The 21,577-nt window shown below is 43.8% G+C and overlaps 1 protein-coding gene across 2 annotated transcripts in view, besides 1 other annotated feature; it reads right to left on the bottom strand.

The window, feature by feature from the left end:
- The window catches only part of SLC25A48 (solute carrier family 25 member 48), a 309,466-nt gene that overhangs the window by 272,581 nt on the left and 15,308 nt on the right, over positions 1-21,577 (bottom strand). The window lies entirely within an intron of this gene.
- Positions 12,408-12,980: an enhancer, noted in NCBI's record as "NANOG-H3K27ac-H3K4me1 hESC enhancer chr5:134938767-134939339 (GRCh37/hg19 assembly coordinates)". NCBI's record gives its function as "activates a minimal SCP1, AML or CMV promoter by ChIP-STARR-seq in naive and primed H9 embryonic stem cells {active_cell/tissue: H9 hESC(naive and primed)}" and the evidence as "EXISTENCE:reporter gene assay evidence [ECO:0000049][PMID:30033119]".

Below are 21,577 nucleotides of genomic sequence, written 5' to 3'. Positions count from 1 at the left end.
CCAAGTCTCAACTCTTGCACTGTGCACCCACAGGCTTAACACCAAGATGAAGCCTCCAAGGCTTATGGTTTGCACCTTCTGAAGCAGCAGCCCATGTACCTGGGACCCTTTGAGCCATGGCTGAAGCTGGAGCAGCTGAGATGCAGGCAGCAGTGCCCCAAGGCTGCATATGGCAGCAGGGCCCTGTGGCAGGCCCATAAAACCACACTTCCCTCCTAAGCTTCTTGGCCTGGGATGAGAGGGGCTGCCTCAAAGGTCTCTGAAATGCCTTCAGGGACTTTTTCCCATTGTCTTGGCTGTTAATACTTGCTTTCCTTTCAGTTATGCAAACTTCAGTTATGCAAACTTCAGTTATGCAAACTATGCAGCTGGCTTGAATTCCTCCCCAGAAAATGGGTTTTTCTTCTCTACCATACGGCCGGGCTGCAAATTTTCCAAAACTTTTACCCTCTGCTTCCCTTTTAAATATGTAAGTTCTGGTTTCAGGTCATTTCTTTGCTCATTTATGTGAGCATATGGTATTAGAAGTAGCCAGGCCATATCTTAAATGCTTTGCTGCTTAGAAATTTCTTCTACCAGACACCCTAAATCATCATTCTCAAGTTAAAAGTTACACAGATTCTTAGAGAAGGAGCACAATGCCACCAACCTCTTTGTTAACACATAACAAAAGTGACCTTTGCTCCAGTTCCCATTAAGTTCCTCACCTGTATCTGAGACCTAATCAGCCCGGTGTTCACTGTCCATATCACTATCAGCATTTTGTTCACAACCATTTAACAAGTCTCTGGGAGGTTCCAAACTTTCCCTCATCTTCCTATTTTCTTCTGAGCCCTCCAAAGTGTTCCAACCATTACCCAGTTCCAAAGTTGCTTCCACATTTTCAGGTGTCTTTATAGCAATGCCCTATTTCTCAGTACCAATTTTCTATATTAGTTTGTTCTAATACTGCTATAAAGAAATAACTGAGACTGGGTAATTTATAAAGAAAAGAGGTTTAGTTGGCTCACAGTTCTTCAGGCTGCACAGGAAGCATGGCTTGGGAGGTCTCAGGAAACTTACAATCATGGCAGAGGGTGAAGAGAAAGCAGGCACGTCTTACATGGCTGAAGCAGGAGGAAGAGACAAAAGGGGGAGGTGCTACACACTTTTAAACAACCAGATCTCATGAGAACTCACTATCACGAGAACAGAAAGGGTGAAATCTGGTCCCATGTTCCAATCATCTCACACCAGGGCCCTCCTACAACACTAAGGATTACAATTTGACATGAGATTTGGGCAAGGGCACGAATCCAAACCATATCAACCGTGATCAAGTGGGATTTATCCCAGGGATTCAAGGATAATTCAATATACAAAATCAAACATGTGGTAAATCACATGAACAGAATAAAAGGGAAAAAAACATATGATCATTTCAATAGGTGAAGGAAAATAATTTAATAAAATTCAACATCCCTTCATGGATAAAACTATCAACAAATTAAGCATTTGAAGGAACATAACTCAACATAATAAAGGTCATATATGAGAAACCCACAGCTAAGAGCATACTGAATTGGGGGAAGGACAAGGATGCCCATTTTTGCCACTCGTATTCAACACAGTACTGGTAGTCCTAGCTAGAGCAACCAGGCAAGAGAAAGAAATAAAAGACATCCAAACTGGAAAGGAGAAAGTCAAATTGTCCTTGTTTGCATATAATATGATATTATATCTAGAAAAGACTCACCAAAAACTCTTAAGTCTGATAAATTCAGTAATGTTGTAGAGTAACAAATCAATATACAAAAATCAGTAGTGTTTCAAGGAACTAGCTAAGAAAGAAATCAAGAAGACAATCCTATTTTCAATAGCTACAAAAAATAAAATACCTACAAATAAAATTAACCAAAGAGGTAAAAGATCTCCACAAGGAAAACTACAAAACACTGGTGAAAGAAATTGAAGAGGACACAACAAATGGAAAGACATCCCAGGCTCATGAATTAGAAGAATTAATATTATTAATATGACCATTCTGCCGAAAGCAATCTACAGATTCAATGCAATCACCATCAAAATAACAATGTCATTTTTCACATAAATAGAAAAAACAATCCTAAAATTCATATGGAATCATAAAAGAGCCTGAATAGCCAAAGAATTCTGGAACAAAAGAAACAAATCTGGAGGCATCACACCACCTAACTTCAAAATATATTACAAGGCTACAGTAACCAAAATAGCATGGGGTTGGTGTAAAAACAGACACATAGACCAATGGAACAGAATTGAGAATCCAAAAATAAACCCATGTATTTACAGTCAACTGATTTTCAACAAAGGTGCCAAGGGCATACACTGGGGAAAGGATACCCTCCTTAGTAAATGGTGCTGAGAAGAGTGGATATCCATAGATCCATAGACTGGATATTCAGAAGAATGAAAGTGGACCCCTCTCTCACCATGTACAAAAATCAACTCAAGATTAAGTAAAGACTTAAATATAGACCTGAAACTATAATACCACTGGAAGAAAACATAGGGAAAACACTTCAGGACTTTGGCCCTAGGCAAAGATTTTATAGCTAAGACTGCAAAACCACAGGCAACAAAAACAAAAATAGACAAATGAAATTATAATAAACTTAAAAGCTTCTGCACAGTAAACAACCAACAGAGTGAAGAGGCACTCTGTTAAAATGGGATAAAATATTTGCAAAGTATTCATCCAATAAAGGACTAATGTCTACAATATACAAGAAACTCAAACAACTCAGCATTAAAAAACAAGCAAACAAAAAATATTTTCATTAAAAAGTGGGCAAAGGACTTAAATAGACGTTTCTCAAAAAAATACAAATAGACAACAGGTATATGAAAAAATGATCAGCATCACTAATCACCAGGGAAATGCAAGTCAAACCACAATGAGATATGATCTTAGACCAGTTAGAATGGCTATCATTAAGAAGACAAAAAATAACAGATGCTGGTGAGGATATGGAAAAAACGGTACTCATACACTGTTGGTAGGAACATAAATTAGTTAGTACAGGCACTATAGAAAGCAGTATGAAGATTTCTCAAAAAACTAAAAATAAAACTTCCATATAATTCAGCAATCCAACTACTGGATATTCATACAAAGGAAAAGAAATCAGTATATCAAAGGGATATATGTGCTCACATGTTTATTGCAGCAGTATTCACAAATACCAAGATATGGAATCAATCTAAGGTCCATCAATGGACAAATGCATAAAGAAAACGTGGTATACTAAACCACATATGCATAAACCACAAATGCATGAAGAAGATGGAATACTATTCAGCTACACAAAAGAATGAAATCCTATAAGTTGCAGCAACATGGGTGGAACTGGGGGTCATCATGTTAAGTGAAATAAGGCAGACACAGAAAGACAAATTTCACATTGTTCTTACTCATACGTGGGAGCTAAATATGTTGATCTCCTGGAGATAGAGAGTAGAATGATAGATACCAGAGGCTGGGAAGGGTGTGTACGTGGCAGGGCAGGGGTGGAGAGATGAAAAGAGGTGGGTCAATGGGGACAGACGATACAGATAGATAGAAGTTATAAGTTCTAATGTTCAGTAGCAAAGTTAAGAACAATAAATTGTATGGTTCAAAGTAACTGGAAAAGAGAACTTGAAATGTTCCCAACACACAGAAATGATAAATCCTCAAGACGATAGATACCCCAACAACACTGATTTGATCATTATACATTCTATGCATTCAGCAAAGTATCACATGTACCCCATAAATATGTAAAATAGTAGGCATCAATTAGAAAATATGCAGTCTTCCAATTCATAAACATGGTATTCTTTTCCACCAATTCAAATAATCTTTAATGACTTTCAGCAATGTTTTGTAATTTTTAAAATTTGTCCAACTTATTTTTTATTCTGCTTATTTTAGGTATTTTATATGTTAGACAATTAAAATGAAATATTTTGTATTATAGCATTTTCAAGTGGCTAATATTGATACATAGGAAAGCCACAGCATATAAACCGTTCATGTTGCCTGGGCACCTTAATGAACTCTCTTATTAATGCTAATAACATTTCTATCAATGTTCTTAAGTTTTCTTGGAAGGCAACTACATAATTTTTAAATAATGACAATTCCGTTTCTTTTCAACAGCTGTGTCTTTTGTTGGGTTCCATGCCTTATTGCATGAAATCATATTAAGTAGCAGAGGTTGGAATAAGGGGGAACATTCTTATCACATTGTTGCTTTTAATAGGAATATCTCTATTCTTTCCCTATTTTCTACAATGTTGGTTGTTAGTATAGACAAGTGAGGTTGTTTGTTTGTGTCTTTTTGAGACAGAGTCTCACACTGTCACCCAGGTGGGCGTGCAGAGGTGCAGTCTCAGCTCACTGCAACCTCCACCTCCCAGGTGCAAACGATTCTCATGCCTCAGCCTCCCTAGTAGCTGGGATTATTGGTGCATGCCACCATACCCAGCTTATTTTTTTTTCTTTTTTTTCTTTTCTTTTCTTTTTCTTTTTTTTTTTTTTTTTTTTTTTTTTTTTTTGAGATGGAGTCTCGCTCTGTCACCGAGTCTGGAGTGCAGTGGCACAATCTCAGCTCGCTGCAAGCTCCATTCTCCCGCCTCAGCCTCCTGAGTAGCTGGGACTACAAGCGCACACCACCAAGACCAGCTAATTTTGTTTTTGTATTTTTAGTAGAAACAAGGTTTCGCCATGTTGGCCAGGCTGGTCTTGAACTCCTGGCCTCAAGTGGTCTGCCCACCTCAGTCTCCCGAAGTGCTGGGATTACAGGCACAAGTCACCGCACCCCGGCCTGACAAGTGTTAAGAAAACATTCTTTGCACCGTAGCATTTACAATTTTTAACCATTTCTAATTTTAAAACATCTTTCTAAAATTTGTTGCTTGGCTTCTGTCTTCTTTAAACAGATTTAGAACATAATTTACATTGAAGATTCAGAATCATTGATTGTACAACTATTACTGTAATGTTTCCAGACACATGGAACACTCCCACCTTTATTAATCCATCCCTCAACACTATGTTTTTTGAAATTGAGTTTCTGCGCTTTGTAAGTCTTTTCTATGTTATTAGGCTGTCATGTCTTGCTAATGTCAAAGTATCTGCTTATTCCTCTAAATTAGAAAATTCTACTCACTAAAGTTATGTATAAAGTGAGAATAAGCTCTGAGAAAGCATTTTCTATATGAGTAAGATTAAAGTCTTATTATATGGTAAACTTTGGATGATTTTACCTGCTCACTAAACTTTTCCCTTTATTCAGTGGTTGTCAGCTCTGTTCTGGAGAGGAGAGGATTCCAAGTACTGAAGTTTTAGGCAGGAAAGTAAACATAATCATGCTTTTGGAAGTTCAACAACAGAAAGGGAGTAAACCAGACAGTAAAATTGAAGATTAAATTAACCTCAACACCTCATTCCACAATAATTCAATTGGCTTTCTATAAACTTACTAGAAGTTTTCATCCTAATATCTGATGAAATTATTGCTGTCAATGTCTTCACTACCCTGGAAAGGACATGGAAAGGGAAAAATAAATAACCTATCAGGGCAAGTAAATATTTGTTATATATGTTCCACATATTAAATACTACATGAGGCATGAGGCTCTGTGGCAGGAGCCCTAGGGGTTAATCCTGCAAAAAAAATCGAATGTGCACATAAATAATTATATTAAAAGTCAGCACATATGTGAGGGTTGGGGCTGTGATTTTTCAAGCCCAAATAAACACATTTATTGAGTTTAAGCAGAAGTACAAGAGAGGGGAGATGGGCACCCCCGTCAGGTGTAGTGAGAAGAAAGGCCACGGAAATATGTCTGTGCATGTGTGGATGGATGCCTAGGGTCACCGTGCCCCCCTTTCCTGGGCTCTCCATGCTGGAGCTGGCCCCAGGCACTGCTCAGTTCCAGACCTGGCTTGTTTTCCTGGCACCTGGGAAATTCCACACACACCCATGTTCCCATATACCTGTCTTGCTTTTGCTACCAAATGGCCTACAAACATTTACTTTAAATAAGTATACATATTTTTATAAAAGTGAGCTTATTCTAAAGTAGCATATGCACGTGGTTTAAAAAATCAAACAGTAAAAATAGATGTGCAATTAAAAGTGAGTCTCTTTTTCACCATAGGCCCCAAGACTCCCTTTTTACCTATAACCACTAATTTCTGGTATATCCTTCTAGAGATATCTGCAAATATACAAGCATATATGAATGTACACGTATTCTCTTTTTATATAGATGATAATAAGTTATGCAGCTTGTTCTGTGCTTTGCTTTTTCCACTTACCTATCTTAGACATGGGTTAATCTGTAACCCAGTGGTCTCAGGTTACTTCCCATGATCCTTGTAAGGAAGATTTGTAAACCACCTGCCAGAGATGTCAATGGAACTCATTCTGCGTCCTTCTGTCTGGAATATGGTTCTGCAACTCTACACAGCTGTCTGGTCATGTTCAGGTCTCTGTATAAAAGTCACCCTCGGAGATGAGGCTTCTCCAATCACCTCATCTGAACAGTACCCCTTCCCTCACTCAGGCACCTGTATGTATCTCAGAACTTGTATGTTTTCTTCATACTATTTAAAGTGGGATCTATTTTATTTGCCGGTTTATTTAGTCGTTCATCATTAATCTCTTCTCATGAAACAGCAGCTCCATGAGGGCCAAGGCTATGATTGTCTCAGTCAGTTGTATTCCTGGCACCCTCCACATGCTGCCACATGACAGGTGCTCAGTGTATACTCAGTGAGTAAATAAAGTAACCTTGTGAGTTCACAAAGCTCCTTAACCTCCTGAGTGAGGGATAGATGAGGTGGTATGAGATCACTGGGGTAAAAATTAATCCCAAGTTAGAGATGGAAAAACAAGTTTGGGGAAGAAGCACAACTAGCCCAAAGCCACAGAGTGGGTCAGTGGTGAGCCAAACTTGTAACTCGGACATTAGGACTTTAAGACCCATGCCCCTTCCACCTCCAGGAAATATCAGGTCATGCCAATTGAAGCTCAGCGTCCAAAGTGCCAGCTGTTGTTTCCAAATAGGAGCCCAACATGGCAGATATCCATAGATAAAGGGCCAAGACAAGACACCTTCATGCTCTTTCCTCCAATTAAGATCTAAAGTCATGTCCCAGGTCACCCCAAGAAGCAGCAAGTCCAGCAAAGGACACACACTATCCCTCTCACATTTGACAGATGTCAGGGGCCTCAGGCACCAGTGACAATTCACTAATTTCCTCTCACTCTAGCTTGGCCAGCCTTGGGAGAAGAGGGAGGATGGAGACAGAAGAAGGCACCCTCCATTTCCTGCTCAGCCTAGCCACTTCTATCAGTCATTGTCTTGGCCACGGTGCAGCAACCTCATCAAGTTACTGCACCTCCAGGCACGACTGACCTGCATGCTCCAGCATGTGCCCTGTAACTGCAGAGCCATGGCTGGAAGGGGGAGAAGACAGGCGCAGCCCCACATAGAAATCTGCCCTTCCTCCAATGGACCCAGCTTTCTGGGACCACCTCATTGGCTGGCTCACCTGGAGACACGCTAGGTTAACTGCAGAGTCATTGCTCATGGAGAGAAAAGAACAGCAGCTGCTCACTTCTAACTTGAGCTATACATACTCAAGCACTGATCTCAGGCTGGTGCTGGTCCCATTCTGACCACCATCATTTGATGAACCTAAAACATGACAGAACTCGTGCCACTGAGACAGAGGTTAGTCTTCTGCTTAGTTCATGTCCTCTATAGGAAGAAAACCATATGATTTCTCCTCCCAATCAAGATAGTCTTGAGCATATAAAGGATCAGTCTTAATACTTTTGCCAGGAGTTTGGGCATGAATCAGGACTGTCTGGGCAAACCAGGTGTATGTCACTCTAACTAAGGCAACAAGTGTGCTGGTCCTAACAGCTGTGAACACATCTCTGAGCTTGGACCATTTATCAAAAGACTCACTCAAGTACATTTCTTCAACTGCTTGCATTTATTTAAAAATTCACACACATGTTCACATCTGTATAATATTCTTAAGAACTATGAAAACAAGTATAGTCTCCACTTTAAGAATGAAGACACAGAGGCAGAATAATGTAAGGAGACTTGCCTCAGATCCCACAGAAGTTAGTGGCAGAAGTGGAACTACAACTCAAATCTCCTGATGTCAGCCCCATAAATAAGCCAATTCTGCCTCCTACTTCAACTGTTGGTGAGTCCTGATTTACATACCTACCAAAGTAAAAATGGGCCCCTGTTGAAGTCACCAAGATGAGCTTCCACTAGGAACTAACAAATCACTATTTGCTAAGAAATCCTGAGCTAAAGAAATTTCTCTCTTTTTCCCTAATACAATTTCCAGCTGGCTTACTTCATATAGAAGCAGGAAAACATATACACTCAGAGATGCATGCATGCTCTTCTTCTAAAGGCAATCACCAACAGAACATGCACCCTACACTTTTCTGATTGAAGCACATCTCATTCTAGAGTAAAGTTTGGGAGGATCTCTCCTCCTAGAGGTAAGAATCAGGACGGTCTTCCTCGCTGTTATACCTCACCTCTTAACACAGCATCTGGCACAAGCAGGTGCTGAAATTCCATGAGTAGGAAGATGAAGGATGAATGCGTGCACACATGGATAGATGTATGCATGGGCACATGCATGCATGCATGGAAATGAGTTGGTCTCCTTGATTGGAGATCAGCTGTATTTATAGATCTATTTGGAACTTGATAAGTAGGTCATCATTAAATTCAACCTTTGATGTCCACTATTTTTGCTATTGATAATTCAAGGGCAGCAGTGTAAGAATGTAGGGGAAGGAAAGGGGCTGGAGAACCTTCTAAACCAAACCAGTGAATACAGTGAATTCAGAAATCTGTGCTTCTCAGAGGCAGCGCCTTTGGAAGGGCAGCCATGGGGCATGAGAAGGAGGAGGAAATATGTTAACTCAGTGGACACTGAGAGGTCCTGAGGTCTAGGCCAAGTCCCCTGGGTAAGAGTTCTTGAGGGTCAGATGAGTCCAGAAGCAGTCAAGGCAGGACACACGGTAAAGAAGGGGAGTATGCAGGGAACAGAAGAGAATTAGGGGTTTCGTCAGCAAGGAATTCTAATTCATTGCCACAGTGGTGATTTTAGCCATTTTATTGCTCCTCTGAACTATAAAAGCAAATCAAATACACGTTCAAAGCAGCTTCGCTGGGCCTGGAAAACCTCTTATTTATGGTTGGGGAGATTTGTTCAGAGGCCACAGATACAAAGACACCTCTAGTAGTGATGCTGTTTTTCCAAGGAACTCCCTTGCTGGCAAGTTTCACTGACCCTGAAAGAAAGCACAGCCTGTGTGCCAGGGATGACAATGGATCCTGGGTATTTCAGAGACAAAGGAGCTGGGGGCTTGTTCAGGGTCTGCCACTCATTAGACAGGGACCTGTAGCCAAGCCACTTAACCTTCTCCAGTCTTGGTTTCTCACCTGTGAAACAGACCCGACAATGCTGCTGGCTCACAGGGCTGCAGCAAGGATGAAAAGAGCCTGCCATAGATACAGCACAGTCACTTTGTGACCTGGTGGTGCTCTGCAGATGTATAGTGGAGTTATTTGTCCACTTAGAGGATTAAAAATGTGATATAATTTATCAGCAGATCAATGCTTCTCAACTATTTAAAATAAAATGTTGAAAAATCAGATCCTAGTAAACTATTATCATTTCTGGGGTCTCAAATTAACTTCAGGTTTGACTCAAGTTAACATACTCCCCTATCTTGTCAAGATAGCCTTGCAACCCAGACCACCTCCCTGACAATGCAGACATTTTATGTGGAAGAAAAAGGTAAGCCTGGTAGAGCAGGAGCCAGTCCAAATAACTGGGTCTCTGTCCAGAAGCAGGCCCAGCCCTGACTTAGTTTCATGTCAATGCAAATCCAGTCTCAGGATTTTTTAGCCAGTTCACCTTTGCTGAAAGGCCAGATTTTTTTTTTCTTTCCCCTAGGGCTGAAATTGTTCTCCCAGTCCTCTGCAGTGGCATTGCTTAGGAAAGAATCTAGCCCATTTGGGGTGTTCAAATATGCATTGCTTGAGCTGAATCTTAAATTGGAAAATAATAGGTAACATGTAAAATGCTGGCTTCAACCAGCAAGCTTCTCTTTGACAATACCTTCCCAAGCCAGAAGTCCATCTCCCTAAAACTTGTAATTTCTGTGGCACCACAGATATTTCTCTGCTCATATCTGGTACTGTAATAAATAAACATTTTCCCGGGATCCAAGACAGTGCAGAAATATCTCACCCAGTCAGAGACTTTACAATGGTACCAAACTTAGGACAATTTCCAAGTTCACTACCACTTCCAAAGATATGTGTTTCAGAATGGCCAAATTCCCAGCAAGAAAGTCAGGCAGTGGTAGAGGTAGTGAAGAAGATGTTAAATGTTCTCATTTCTGAAAAGCAAGTACCTAAGGTAAGCTAAATCAAGAGTGTCCATTGTTTCTATGGATACCTGCAGCATTTCTGCAGGAGCTGGAGACAACCCAGGAGAAATGAGACCCTGGAAAAGGCAGACCACACCCAGAGGTTCTCCCCAAGCATCCTCACTGTGGACAAGGCAGTCAAACAGGCATGATGCAAACCCTCCTGGCCACATCCTCACACTCAGAAGATGCAAATCCTTTGGATGTTTCCAGACGAGACCTCCCAGCCTTTCAGACGAATACAGTACTCATCATTTAGAACCAATCTCATAATGGGAATAGGGGCTGGAGGCCAGCATGAAAGAGAAGTCTTTGTTTTGTATTTTTTAAATTATAAAGTAATTCTTGCTCCTTGTAGAAAATAGAGAATGTTATAAATAAATAAAAATTATCCAAAATTCCATAACATAGATAGCCATTATTACAAATTATATAAGTGCATACATATAAAGAAAATTAGAAGCATAATGTGTATAGTTTTGCAGCTCAGTTTATACCCAAAATTACTTAAAAGCATTTTTCAATGACATTCAATGTTTATATTTCAAGAACACCTACATAGCACTTACTCTGCACCAGAAACTGTTTTAAGTGCTTCATAAGCACACAACTCCCCACAGGCCTATGAGATGAGTGTTATTATTACCCACTTACAGGTGGAAACGCTGAGGGACCACAGAGCAGGCAAGTGGCAGAGCTGGAGTTCACGCCTGGCAGTCTGACTCCAAAGACCATGCTCTTGACCACCACACTGGGCTGCTGCTGTGGACTTTGGACACCTGACCTTTTATGACTCCGTAATATTCTAGTTTGGTCTCCTGTGATTGAGGCAATGCTGAATTTAAGACCTCAAAGTCCCCTCTAGTCAAAGTCCCTCCAGCTCTCTGAGTTACCCTTGTATCAATTGTAGGAAAAAGCTTCTTCCCAAACATCAGTTATCTCAACTGTTAACTACAAGGTTGGGGTGGGACCCACTGAAACAGACTATTCATAGGGAACCAGAGGCAAAAACTGCCAAAGAAATAACCATCAAAAGAGCAAGGAGCCGTTGGCTACAGGTGTTCTGAGCCCTGGCCTCCCCATCCCTCAGTGCCCCAGGACTGGCCGGTTCTCCACTTATTCTTTCAGGAAAGGCTCGATTTATCTGCACTTAATTTCTCATTAATAAAATGGGGCACTTATACCTGCCCGACAGGATGTCTGTGAGGATTAAGGAGACAGAGAGATGCCTATCAAGCACCTGGCCCAGGCTGGCCCTGGGCTGGGTAAAGTACAGACTGCTTTTCGTTGGTTTTTGTTTTTCATTTACTTGTTCATGCAGTTAATTATCTACCTGTGCCTCATCCACAAGGATGGAAAGAACAGATTCTGGACTCAGACGGGCTGGGGTTGACTCTGAGGTTTCTTAAAGCTTGCTAAACCTCTGTTTTCTCACCTGCACAGAGGGCATAATAACGGAACCCACCACGCAGAGTTACTGTGAGGATTAAATGAGACAATTCATGTCAAAGAATTTAGCACCCAGCAAGGGCTCAATAAGTCAAAGCTGTTTGTTTTCTTTCTTTCTTCATTTTCCACACCGTCTGCTTTCCCCTGTACTCATTTCACTGGCCTGGGAAGGGGGCAGGGGAAACACCAACAAGGCCTGATCCCGGTAGAGGTTAGAGACCTCACCACCCTCCACCTCCCACCTCCCACTTCACAGTGGAGGTGACAGAGGGTGCCCGATCATGGTCACAGAGCCTTGTAGGGACAGTGAGGCCTCTTCTAGCACTCCAGAGAACCATGAGCATCTCATTGCTAAAGGAACGCCTTCTCCTTTCAACAAATAAGTCTGGGGAGCTGTGTCCTTCCCCCAAGGCTGAAACACCCTGTTTCTGAACCCCCTTCCTTGGGCACTAAGTGAGGCAGGCAGGAAGCTGGCTGTCACCACCAAGCCTGCACTTGAGGAGGTCAGGCTCCCCAGGGCCCTGAGCTGGCTCGCACCCCCCCACCACCAGACACAGGGAGGGGCCGTCAGAGGGATGAGGCCAGAGGCAGGGCCGGGCCTGCTGGGAGGCCTGTCCTGCCTCATCAGGATTCTACTCAGCCCTCAGGCTGAATGAGAGGAATGGGACACTCCTCAAAGCCAGCATGGTAATTGCAGGAGGCATTAAGCTTAATTAGGCTAATCATCTGCCTGAAGTCATTTACCTTCAACCTCATGAAAGCGTCTTCAGAAAGCAATCCCACTGCAGCTGTGAGGCTGCAGGGTGCAGGTGCAGGGTTTGGGAGCTGGTGTCTGGAATTCCTAAAAGGATTCCAGCATGGCCTCAGGAGCCTAGAGGGACAGAAGGAACCAGATGAATGTATGACTGAGACTGGCAAAAAGGGAAACTTCTGGAACATTAGTCTCAAGCCAGGATATGGGCCTGGGCTGGAGGCTTGGGAGTGACTTTTCTGTTTTCCCTCTCAGCCTATTTGATTTGGTCAGGGGAGACCCCACCAAAGGAACCGACGTGCGCACAGGTTCCTCCAGGTTTCTTCAGGTTTCCACAGGTGTGCACTTTTCAGCTGTTTCAGTCTCTACAGCAATGACCTGCTGGTGTGAGAGCTGAATGGACTGACAGTGAGGTGCAAGTTTGTGTAACTGAGACCAGCAGAGAAACAGACATATATCCATCTGGTGAAATGCCTCTTTACTCAAAAACTACATGCAAGGTGTTCTCACTCATAGGTGGGAATTGAACAATGAGAACGCTTGGACACAGGAAGAGGAACATCACACACCAGGGCCTGTCGTGGGGTGGGGGGAGAGGGGAGGGATAGTATTAGGAGATATACCTAATGTAAATGACGAGTTAATGGGTGCAGCAAACCAACATGGCACATGTATACATATGTAACAAACCTGCACGTTGTGCACATGTACCCTAAAACTTAAAGTATAATAAAAAAAAAAAAGAAAGAAAAAAAAAAAGAAAACTCCATGCAAGGACTGATGGCTACAAAGCCCCCGGTGGCAATGCTTTGCAATAAGAAAATAAACACACAAATATTCTACTTAGTAACTAAACCTACTTAGTTAGTAGAACCCCTAACCCCATAACTCAAAAACTTCAGGGAGTAGAGATGACCAAACCATTGTACATAAGCCCATTTATGGGGACTAGGGCAGGGGAGGCAGCCTCCTGGAAGCCAGGTCCATCCCAGGTCTGCAGAAGTCCACTCACCTGTGGCAAAGTCTCACTGAACTGATGTGGAATCTCTTGGGGCAGGGGGTTGTAAATGATTTGGGGAAAGTACATTGGTGAACACATTTGTGAGGGAAATGTTTGGCCTTACTGAGTGTTCTCAATTCCTTTAGCAGCACATACAAGCATATACGAATCCAAACACAAGTTATCCTCTTTTGTTCATCAGAGCTGATTCTCACCATGTTATAGGCTCACTGTATTTGCTGTGGGCCCTGGCTCTGTACACATTATTTACAAAAAATTAAGAGATAGGAAGTTTCTGGATAAATGTCTAGCATGTGCCAGAGACAGGTGCACTAATCCTCTTTGAGCTCCTACTAAGTGGCAGGCACTGTACAAGTGATTAACATTGAAGTTATTCCTCACTATAAACCTGTGCAGTAGACATTGTTAACCATGTTTTATAAAAAGAAGAAACCAATGCCCAGAAACATTAAGTGACCACCCGGGGTCACTGAGCAAGGGAGCACACTGCTGGATTCAAACTCTAGTCTTTGGACATCAAAGCTTGCACACGTGACCTCCCCAGGAATTCAAGAATACAGTTTCTTTTGGCTCAGCCAGGCCTTCGCTTTGGCAGCTGTTGGGAGATGAATAGATCAGAGAGGGCAAGAAGTCCAGATGAGCAGCTCACTGTCCCTGCAGTCTGGTAGGAGATGGCCAGGGAAGCAACGGAGTGGGACCCACCAGAGAAAGCTGTAAGGAAGTTCAAAGCTTGGGGAGGAAAGGGAGTTTCTTCAAAACTGTGTGACCCATGGGTTCCAGTCAAGATGGAGAGAGGGGAGAGTGACACTTTCTCCTAGGAGTTGTAGACAAGGTGAAGACAAATTCTTCAAGTACACATGAGCTGCTCAAGGATACAAGAATATTTCCCTGGAAGGTTCCCAGAGATGTCTAGGAAGGTGAGAATTAAGGAAAGGCCAGATTCCCCAGGATGGCAGCAAGAGGTACCTGTGGGAAGAGCCAGCCCTCAGCAGTGGCAACCTCTCACATGTGCACAAAACAGTATGCAAAGTGTTCTTACATGACCCCCACCAGAGAGCTTCAAGGACAGGAGGCAGGCAGCGGTTATTATCACGAATGAACACCTTGGTGTCAAGAGCCATTAAATGACTTACTTGTCCCATGGATGGAGTGGCCTCACGGATGGGGTGACCTCAGCAGTCGGAACTTCCCTAGTCACTTCCTCCCCACAGTGGTCAGCCCTTCACTCTTCAGTGTCTTCTGTGGTTGGTTTTTTGACTTCCCACTTATGTGACCAACTCTGTGAAGCTGGGGAAGGATTAACTTGTTCATTCATCCATTTAGTCAGTCAGTTAGTCAAAAAACACTTGCCGGGCACGGTGTCTCACACCTGTAATCCCAGCACTTTGGGAGGCCGAGGCGGGCAGATCACGAGATCAGGAGTTCAAGACCAGCCTGGCAAACATGGTGAAACCCTGTCTCTACTAAAAATACAAAAAAAAAAAAAAATACCCGGGCATGGTGGCACGTACCTGTAGTCCCAGCTGCTCGGGAGGCTGAGGCAGGAGAATTGCTTGAACCCAGCAGATGGAGGTTGCAGTGAGCCGAGATTGCACCACTGCACTCCAGCCTGGGCAACAGAGTGAGACTCCATCTCAAAAAAAAATAAATAAATAAAAAAGAAAAAGAAAGAAAAACACTTGAGCACCTATGTGCCAGGCACTGTGTTTGGTTCTGAGGACACAACAGTGAAAAATAAATGCAGTCCCTGAAGGAGGAGGCATTCCAAGCAGGAGGAACAAAGATACAGAAGTGAACACTACAAAAGGGTAGGAGCCCGAGGAAGGTTAGTCAGGGAGACAGCATGGGCACAATTCTGAGCAGGAGAAGAGAAGATGTGTTCCCTGTCAACCCAGCCATTCGGTGGAAAAGTCCAGCTGGGTCCCAGGGTACACCCCCTCAAAGGACTCCAGCACTTCAGTCCCTGACTTGTGGATCCTCAAAATCCACAAACTTATAGCCTTGGGGCTTGGGCAGTGAGCAGCCGAGAATGTAGGGATGAGGGCCCTGCCCACAGGGAGCAGGAGAACCACATTATTCATCTGCTCTCCAAGCTGTTCCTTTGAAATGTCTCATCCATCAGCATCAGAGCCGTGAAGGCCCTTAGAAGCGCCTCCATCTACCTCATTACTTTAACCTACTTTTAATCAATCAAAAACCACACCCAAAGACACAGTTCCCAGCATGAAAAGCTGTAATGAGGCCAGAAGAAGTATCCTTGACAACTCAAACACAGCAAAAGTGATGAGTGAGATATTGAGCCCCAAGGGGGTTGGCCAAGGGAGGGGGGAGTATGTAGAAATACAAATGTTTTTTTTTTTCTTAGATATGTTATGGCAGGGACAGACAGGAATAGACTCCTCTTCCCAAGGTCATTGCTATGTGCTGACGTCCCCCAAATTTTTAAAGTTCTACAAGGCTTCTGGGGAGGCAGCCCCATCCTGGGCAAGCCTGGGAGTGCGAAGGCCAGAACTGAGGCTGCTCCTCCTGCATGCCAGCTCCTTATACAGGATCAGGCCAAAGGTGGCACCAAGAAACACTGGCTGGATAAAATGAACAAGAGAAGGAAGGAAGGAAGGAAATAAGGAAGGGAGGAAGGAAGAACAAGCAGCTTCTTGTGCTGGTCTGTGGTCAGGAGTGCATGCGGAAGAAACATGCAGCTGGAGTGGCCATTCACACAGCCAGTGCTGCCTGGGCCTCACAACTCCCAGCCTCGGTTTCCCCAGCAGCCCACTCCTGCTTCCAGTTGTTCTAGAAGTGCCCCAGCGATTGATAAAGGGCTGGACTACCTGCAGATCCCAACACGACATAGTAGCCTCCAACTTATGCATGGCCAAGGAAGAAGAGAAAGGGGAACAATGGGTAACCTGATTACAGCAAACCCCCAAAGACTGCCTATCAGAATCTGACAGGAGCGGGGCACTCCAATATCCATGAGCTCTAAGGATGCCAACTCAGACAGCCTGGGAGGGATGTGTACAGCCACAGACTCAGATAGCAGTTCCCAAAATGAGAAGCAAGCATGACCATCTGGGTGAGAATAAGCTTGGAAGCTGGGAGGCCAGGGAGAAGGCAGCCACACTGTCCATCTCCAAGAGTGTGATGAAGACTTGACAGGGCTGTGGCAATGGGCTGAGGGATGAGTTGGTATTTAGAAATAAAGACAAAATCCTAAGCCCCCGAACCAACTGAATGAGTCACACTCTTGGCCAAGACGACCCCAGAGAAGCCTTAAAATAGTGAGTTCCTGGCCATGACGAGAAGGGAGGTCAGACACACCTCGTTATATCCCCTCCTTCACTCACTGCCATTAGACTTTCTTTCCTAAGAGTTAAATAGAATCCAGCCCAGCTGCACTCCCCTCTACTTTTGCTGTTTTGACACAGCAACTGTGCAGCATTCCTTCCTGATAAGAGACCACCGACCACAGACTGGTTCTGCTGGTTTACGGACGCTGCGCACAGGATGCCTCTATGTCCTCCATTTCACTTTATGATGTACAGAGCCTAATTTTAATGCATTTAAATGTTAATACTCCACCCCAAAGTGAAAATGGGATGTATATAACATGCATGTTTGCTTACTACACATGTGTGTGTGTCCCTCTTTATGAATATTCATAGTTCCTCCTATAACCTATTGAATATATTTATATACTTAGCCGACCTGTTCAGCATAAATTCCTACCTCACTCTTTTCTTCTGTGAAGTGCCTGCTTTCAGCTTCTGCCACAGGCTATGCTTCCCAGTCTGCAGGGTAGCCAGCCTGCAGGCTGCAACCCTTTATAAGAAATGAAGCTTTCCTTTTCATATTGATGAACCTCATGATTCTTCAGTTAACAGTATGCCATTGTAGAAGCTATACAAAGCTTGGTGAGTGGTTGGGTGAACATGTTAGTGAGGAAGGAAAACAAGTCAGAGTGGTCCAAGTTCCTGGCACAGGCAATATGGTGGAAGGAGAAATGATGATGCTGTTAAATGAGATAATGCAATAGGAAGAACCACTGGGTAAGGGAAGCCCCTAAAGCAGAAGGAAATCCTTAAAATTGTTTTATAGGGGACAATCAAATTTGTGAGTCCTCCTGAAGCCAGGCTGCCCAGGAAAGCCAACATAACTACAATAATGATAATAATTATGTCACTTTTTTTGATCACTTGCAGTCATCCTAGTGGGTAACACTTTGCATTGAGTTCTTTTGGACTGGTTCTTTCCATCTCCATTCTACTCTCCTAGTTGGGGACGTTGCTTTTGTTTGTTTGTTTGTTTGTTTGTTTTTTGGTTTGATTTTTTTTTTAAGACAGAGTCTCACTCTGTCACCCAGGCTGAAGTGCAGTGGCACAGTCTCAGCTCACTGCAACTTCCGTCTCCTGAGTTCAAGTGATTCTCCTGCCTCAGCCTCCCGAGTAGCTGGGACTACAGGCGTGCAGCACCATGCCCGGCTAATTTTTGTATTTTTAGTAGAGGCAAGGTTTCACCATGTTGGTCAGGCTAGTCTCAAATTCCTGACCTCAGGTGATCCGCCCACCTCTGCCTCCTAAAGTACTAGTGTTATAGGCGTGAGCCACTGCACCCAGCTAGGTGGGGACTTTGGAAAGCTCAACACATTTCCCAGACTCCTAGACTCTTTTGTAGCTAAAGCTTAGGATGTGAACTATGTGCCACCAATTGGATGCACTCACACCAGATTTGAGAAGTAGAAGTGAGGTGGAGGCCATTCTCGCATCTCCTTTGATTGTTTCTATCGGCAAGCAGGGTCCTTTGCAGCTGGTTCCAGTGTCCATTCTGCAGTGTCCTGGTGGAACTGCAAGAGCAAGTGCAGTTTTGATTCCAGTTTTCTGGTACCTGGATCCCAACTGTAAGAATGAGTCCTGAGCTCTTAATTCCAGTGTCAGAGGCAGGTCGGAGGCAGGTAGCCCTAACCTGGAGGGTGACTTCTGAATTGTCCTGGGAACCTTCCCAGAGGCCCATCAGTGGCCACCCTGTCAGCCCTTCCCATGATTTTGTAGTACTTCATTCCCTGTATCCAATCCCTTCTTGCTCAGATCTGCAACTTGGTTTCAATTTCCTGCATTGAATCCAGTCTGAGATAGAGATAGAGATATGTGCCTGGCACTACTCTATGAGCTGTAAATATTAATACATTAACTCATTTAATCCTCAAATCAACCTTATAAGTTTAAGTATGACCTTGAGCAAGTCACTGACTCTCTGTCTGGGGTTAAGAGCCCTGTCTGATATGCTAGGCACTATGCTGGGGCTTTTACATGCATTGTCTCCTCACAACCTACTATTGGCTCTTTTTTCAAAAGACGACTGAGTCATAGACATGCTTACTTAGCATCTCTCACCCAAGGTCACACAGCTAGTCAGTGGCAGAGCTGGGTTTCAGCCCTCTGCCAAGTGCACCCCCAATCATTACGCTACACCACATTAAAGCAGAACTGTCTCCCAAAGGCTGTCCCGTGGTCATTTGGAGGCTACCAAAATGATAGTGCAATCAGTATGGAGGGAGCACTCAGGAAGGTCAATCTAATGAAAAGTGGGGCATGAAGCTCCACTTGCTTAGCAGTTTACACAGGATAAGAAAATTCCCCTTGTCCAAATTCAAGAATGGAGGGGGTGGCAAATGGAGATTGCAGGCAAGAAGGGGCTGACAACCACTCGCTCCTCAGCAGCCCCACGGACAACTGAGCACCTCTGCTCATTTCAGTGCCTACACCCTCCGGCTCAGTGAGTCAGGAAAGAGATCATTCAGACAATGGAAGTGAAGAGAAGAGAGTCAAGATACATCTGACTTTGAGGACTACGGAGGCTAAACCCTCGGTCTTGACAGGTATGGGGACATGGTGTTGCTGTTAAGTCCTTGCTAATCCTTTTCCTTCCCCAGAGATTTTTCCTTGGCCCATGAGTGAAGTCACATGTCTCTGTGCATAAGTTCAACAACTATAATTTGCAGGGAGTTAATTACCTTCATACTTTGATCTGGTGGAGTTTCATCTCTATGGTTACCAATTGAGTATAAACAATTATCACTTGTCTCTTTTACATAAAATATTCTGAAAAAACACCCCTAGGGCTCCAATCATGGAAATCAAATATACAGAATGTTCACAGAATCTTTTAAAATTTTTGTATGAAATGTCTATACACACAAAAATAGATAAAGTTGGGTAACTATTTGGCTATCAATAATAATTCACGAATTGTGCAGACTTGTTTTTCAGCCCTAGCCTCAGATCTCCTAAGTGAGGCAGTTCTGGCAAGGGTAAGGGGTTGGCCGAGTGACAGGTGGAGATGCCCAGAAAACAGAAAGCACCTGATGATGTCCACTCTGGGAGGGCTGGTGCCCAAAAGGACCAAGAGGATCATTTAGTCATCGTGCTTGTGATCGTGCCTGCTAGGGGCCTTATACTGATGCGTGTGTGAATAGATGCAACCTGGGTTGAATGAGTGAATTATGATAATGACAGTTAACAGGTATGGAGCATGTACTATGTGCCAGTCACTGTCATGGGCTTTACAAGTATTTCTTCATGTAATCTTCACAATATCACTATGAGATGCATATAATAATAATTACACTTAATTTACAAATGAAGAAATGGAGTCTCAGAGCAGTCACACATCTAAGAAACAGAGCTAGCATGTATGCGCAAGCCCATCTCAATTCAAAGCCCCTGCTCTCTTCACCCCCTCCTTTCTGCCACCACACAACAGTCCCACAAACATGAATGTTATGTCTACCCAGCAAAACTCTGAAGTTTTCAAGGTGACAGACACGACAGCTTTTCTAACTTGCCAAGGGGGAGTTCCCTGGATAGGTGAGCCTATGTCCATGGTGAGTGGTGTCTGTCCATTGGAAGCTCTATGTTCCTGGTTGGCGGTGCCTGTCCATCAATAACCTTCCAATCCAGTGTGGGGCCCTTGGCAGCTCTGACCTCCTAGAGCCCATGAGGTTGGGTGGAATCACCATGTCCCACAACTCCAGGGACATACAGTGGGAATGGCAATGCCCAAGGATTTAGGCAAGCAATCCCATAGCCCTGCCCATAAAATCTTGTCTCCAAACACAGCAAGTGACAGGGGCTGCATGAGAGTGGAGCAGGGTAAGGGAGAGGGGGGTTCATAGAATTAAGGCAGGTGGGTTCTGGGTTCACCAGCCTGCCTAAAGATGGAGGGCTCCACCTGCCTCCACCAGGGACTGTTTGGAAATGAGGCCTGAGACAGTGTCCTAGGCCTAGCCTCAGATCCAAGCAGGCCTAGCCTCAGATCGATGAGGCTGAGGCCTGCTTCCCTGGACTAGGAGTTGAGAGACCAAGGTTCTGATTCCATCTTAACTGAACTTCCAGCACCCTTTCCCTCACTGCACCTCAGTTTCTTTATCTGTGAAATATGCATCATGATCATTGGGCCTCCTGCCTAACAGGAAGACAAAAAGGCTTACCTGAGCCTGTGTGTGAAGGTGCTCTTCATGCTGTCAAATGCTATGCATAGGAGGGATCTGGGCACCCTCCAAGCAGTGATGCCGTGAGAGCAGCTGAGGTGTGGCCAGGTTTTGTATTCACCCACTCCCTTTCACTGACCCCTTTGGCAACAATGACATCCTTGCTGCCTACTGCTGTGCTTTTGCTCTTCCCCTTGGGGGCCAACCAAGAGGAAGAACAGTTAGGGTTAGGTTTAGTTCAACCATGACCCCCCAACACTGTCCAGACCCCTCCCACATGCCAAGGACTGGGGTAAGTCTGATGCAATCTTCACAATCATCCTATGAGGGTACTGACCTGGCTCCATTTTACAAATTAGGAAACTGAGATCAAG

Source organism: Homo sapiens, chromosome 5 (assembly GCF_000001405.40).
Source record: "Homo sapiens chromosome 5, GRCh38.p14 Primary Assembly".
Lineage (NCBI taxonomy): Eukaryota > Metazoa > Chordata > Mammalia > Primates > Hominidae > Homo > Homo sapiens.
Note: the sequence above shows the minus strand (reverse complement) of the source record. Positions and strands in the feature narration are given on the sequence as shown.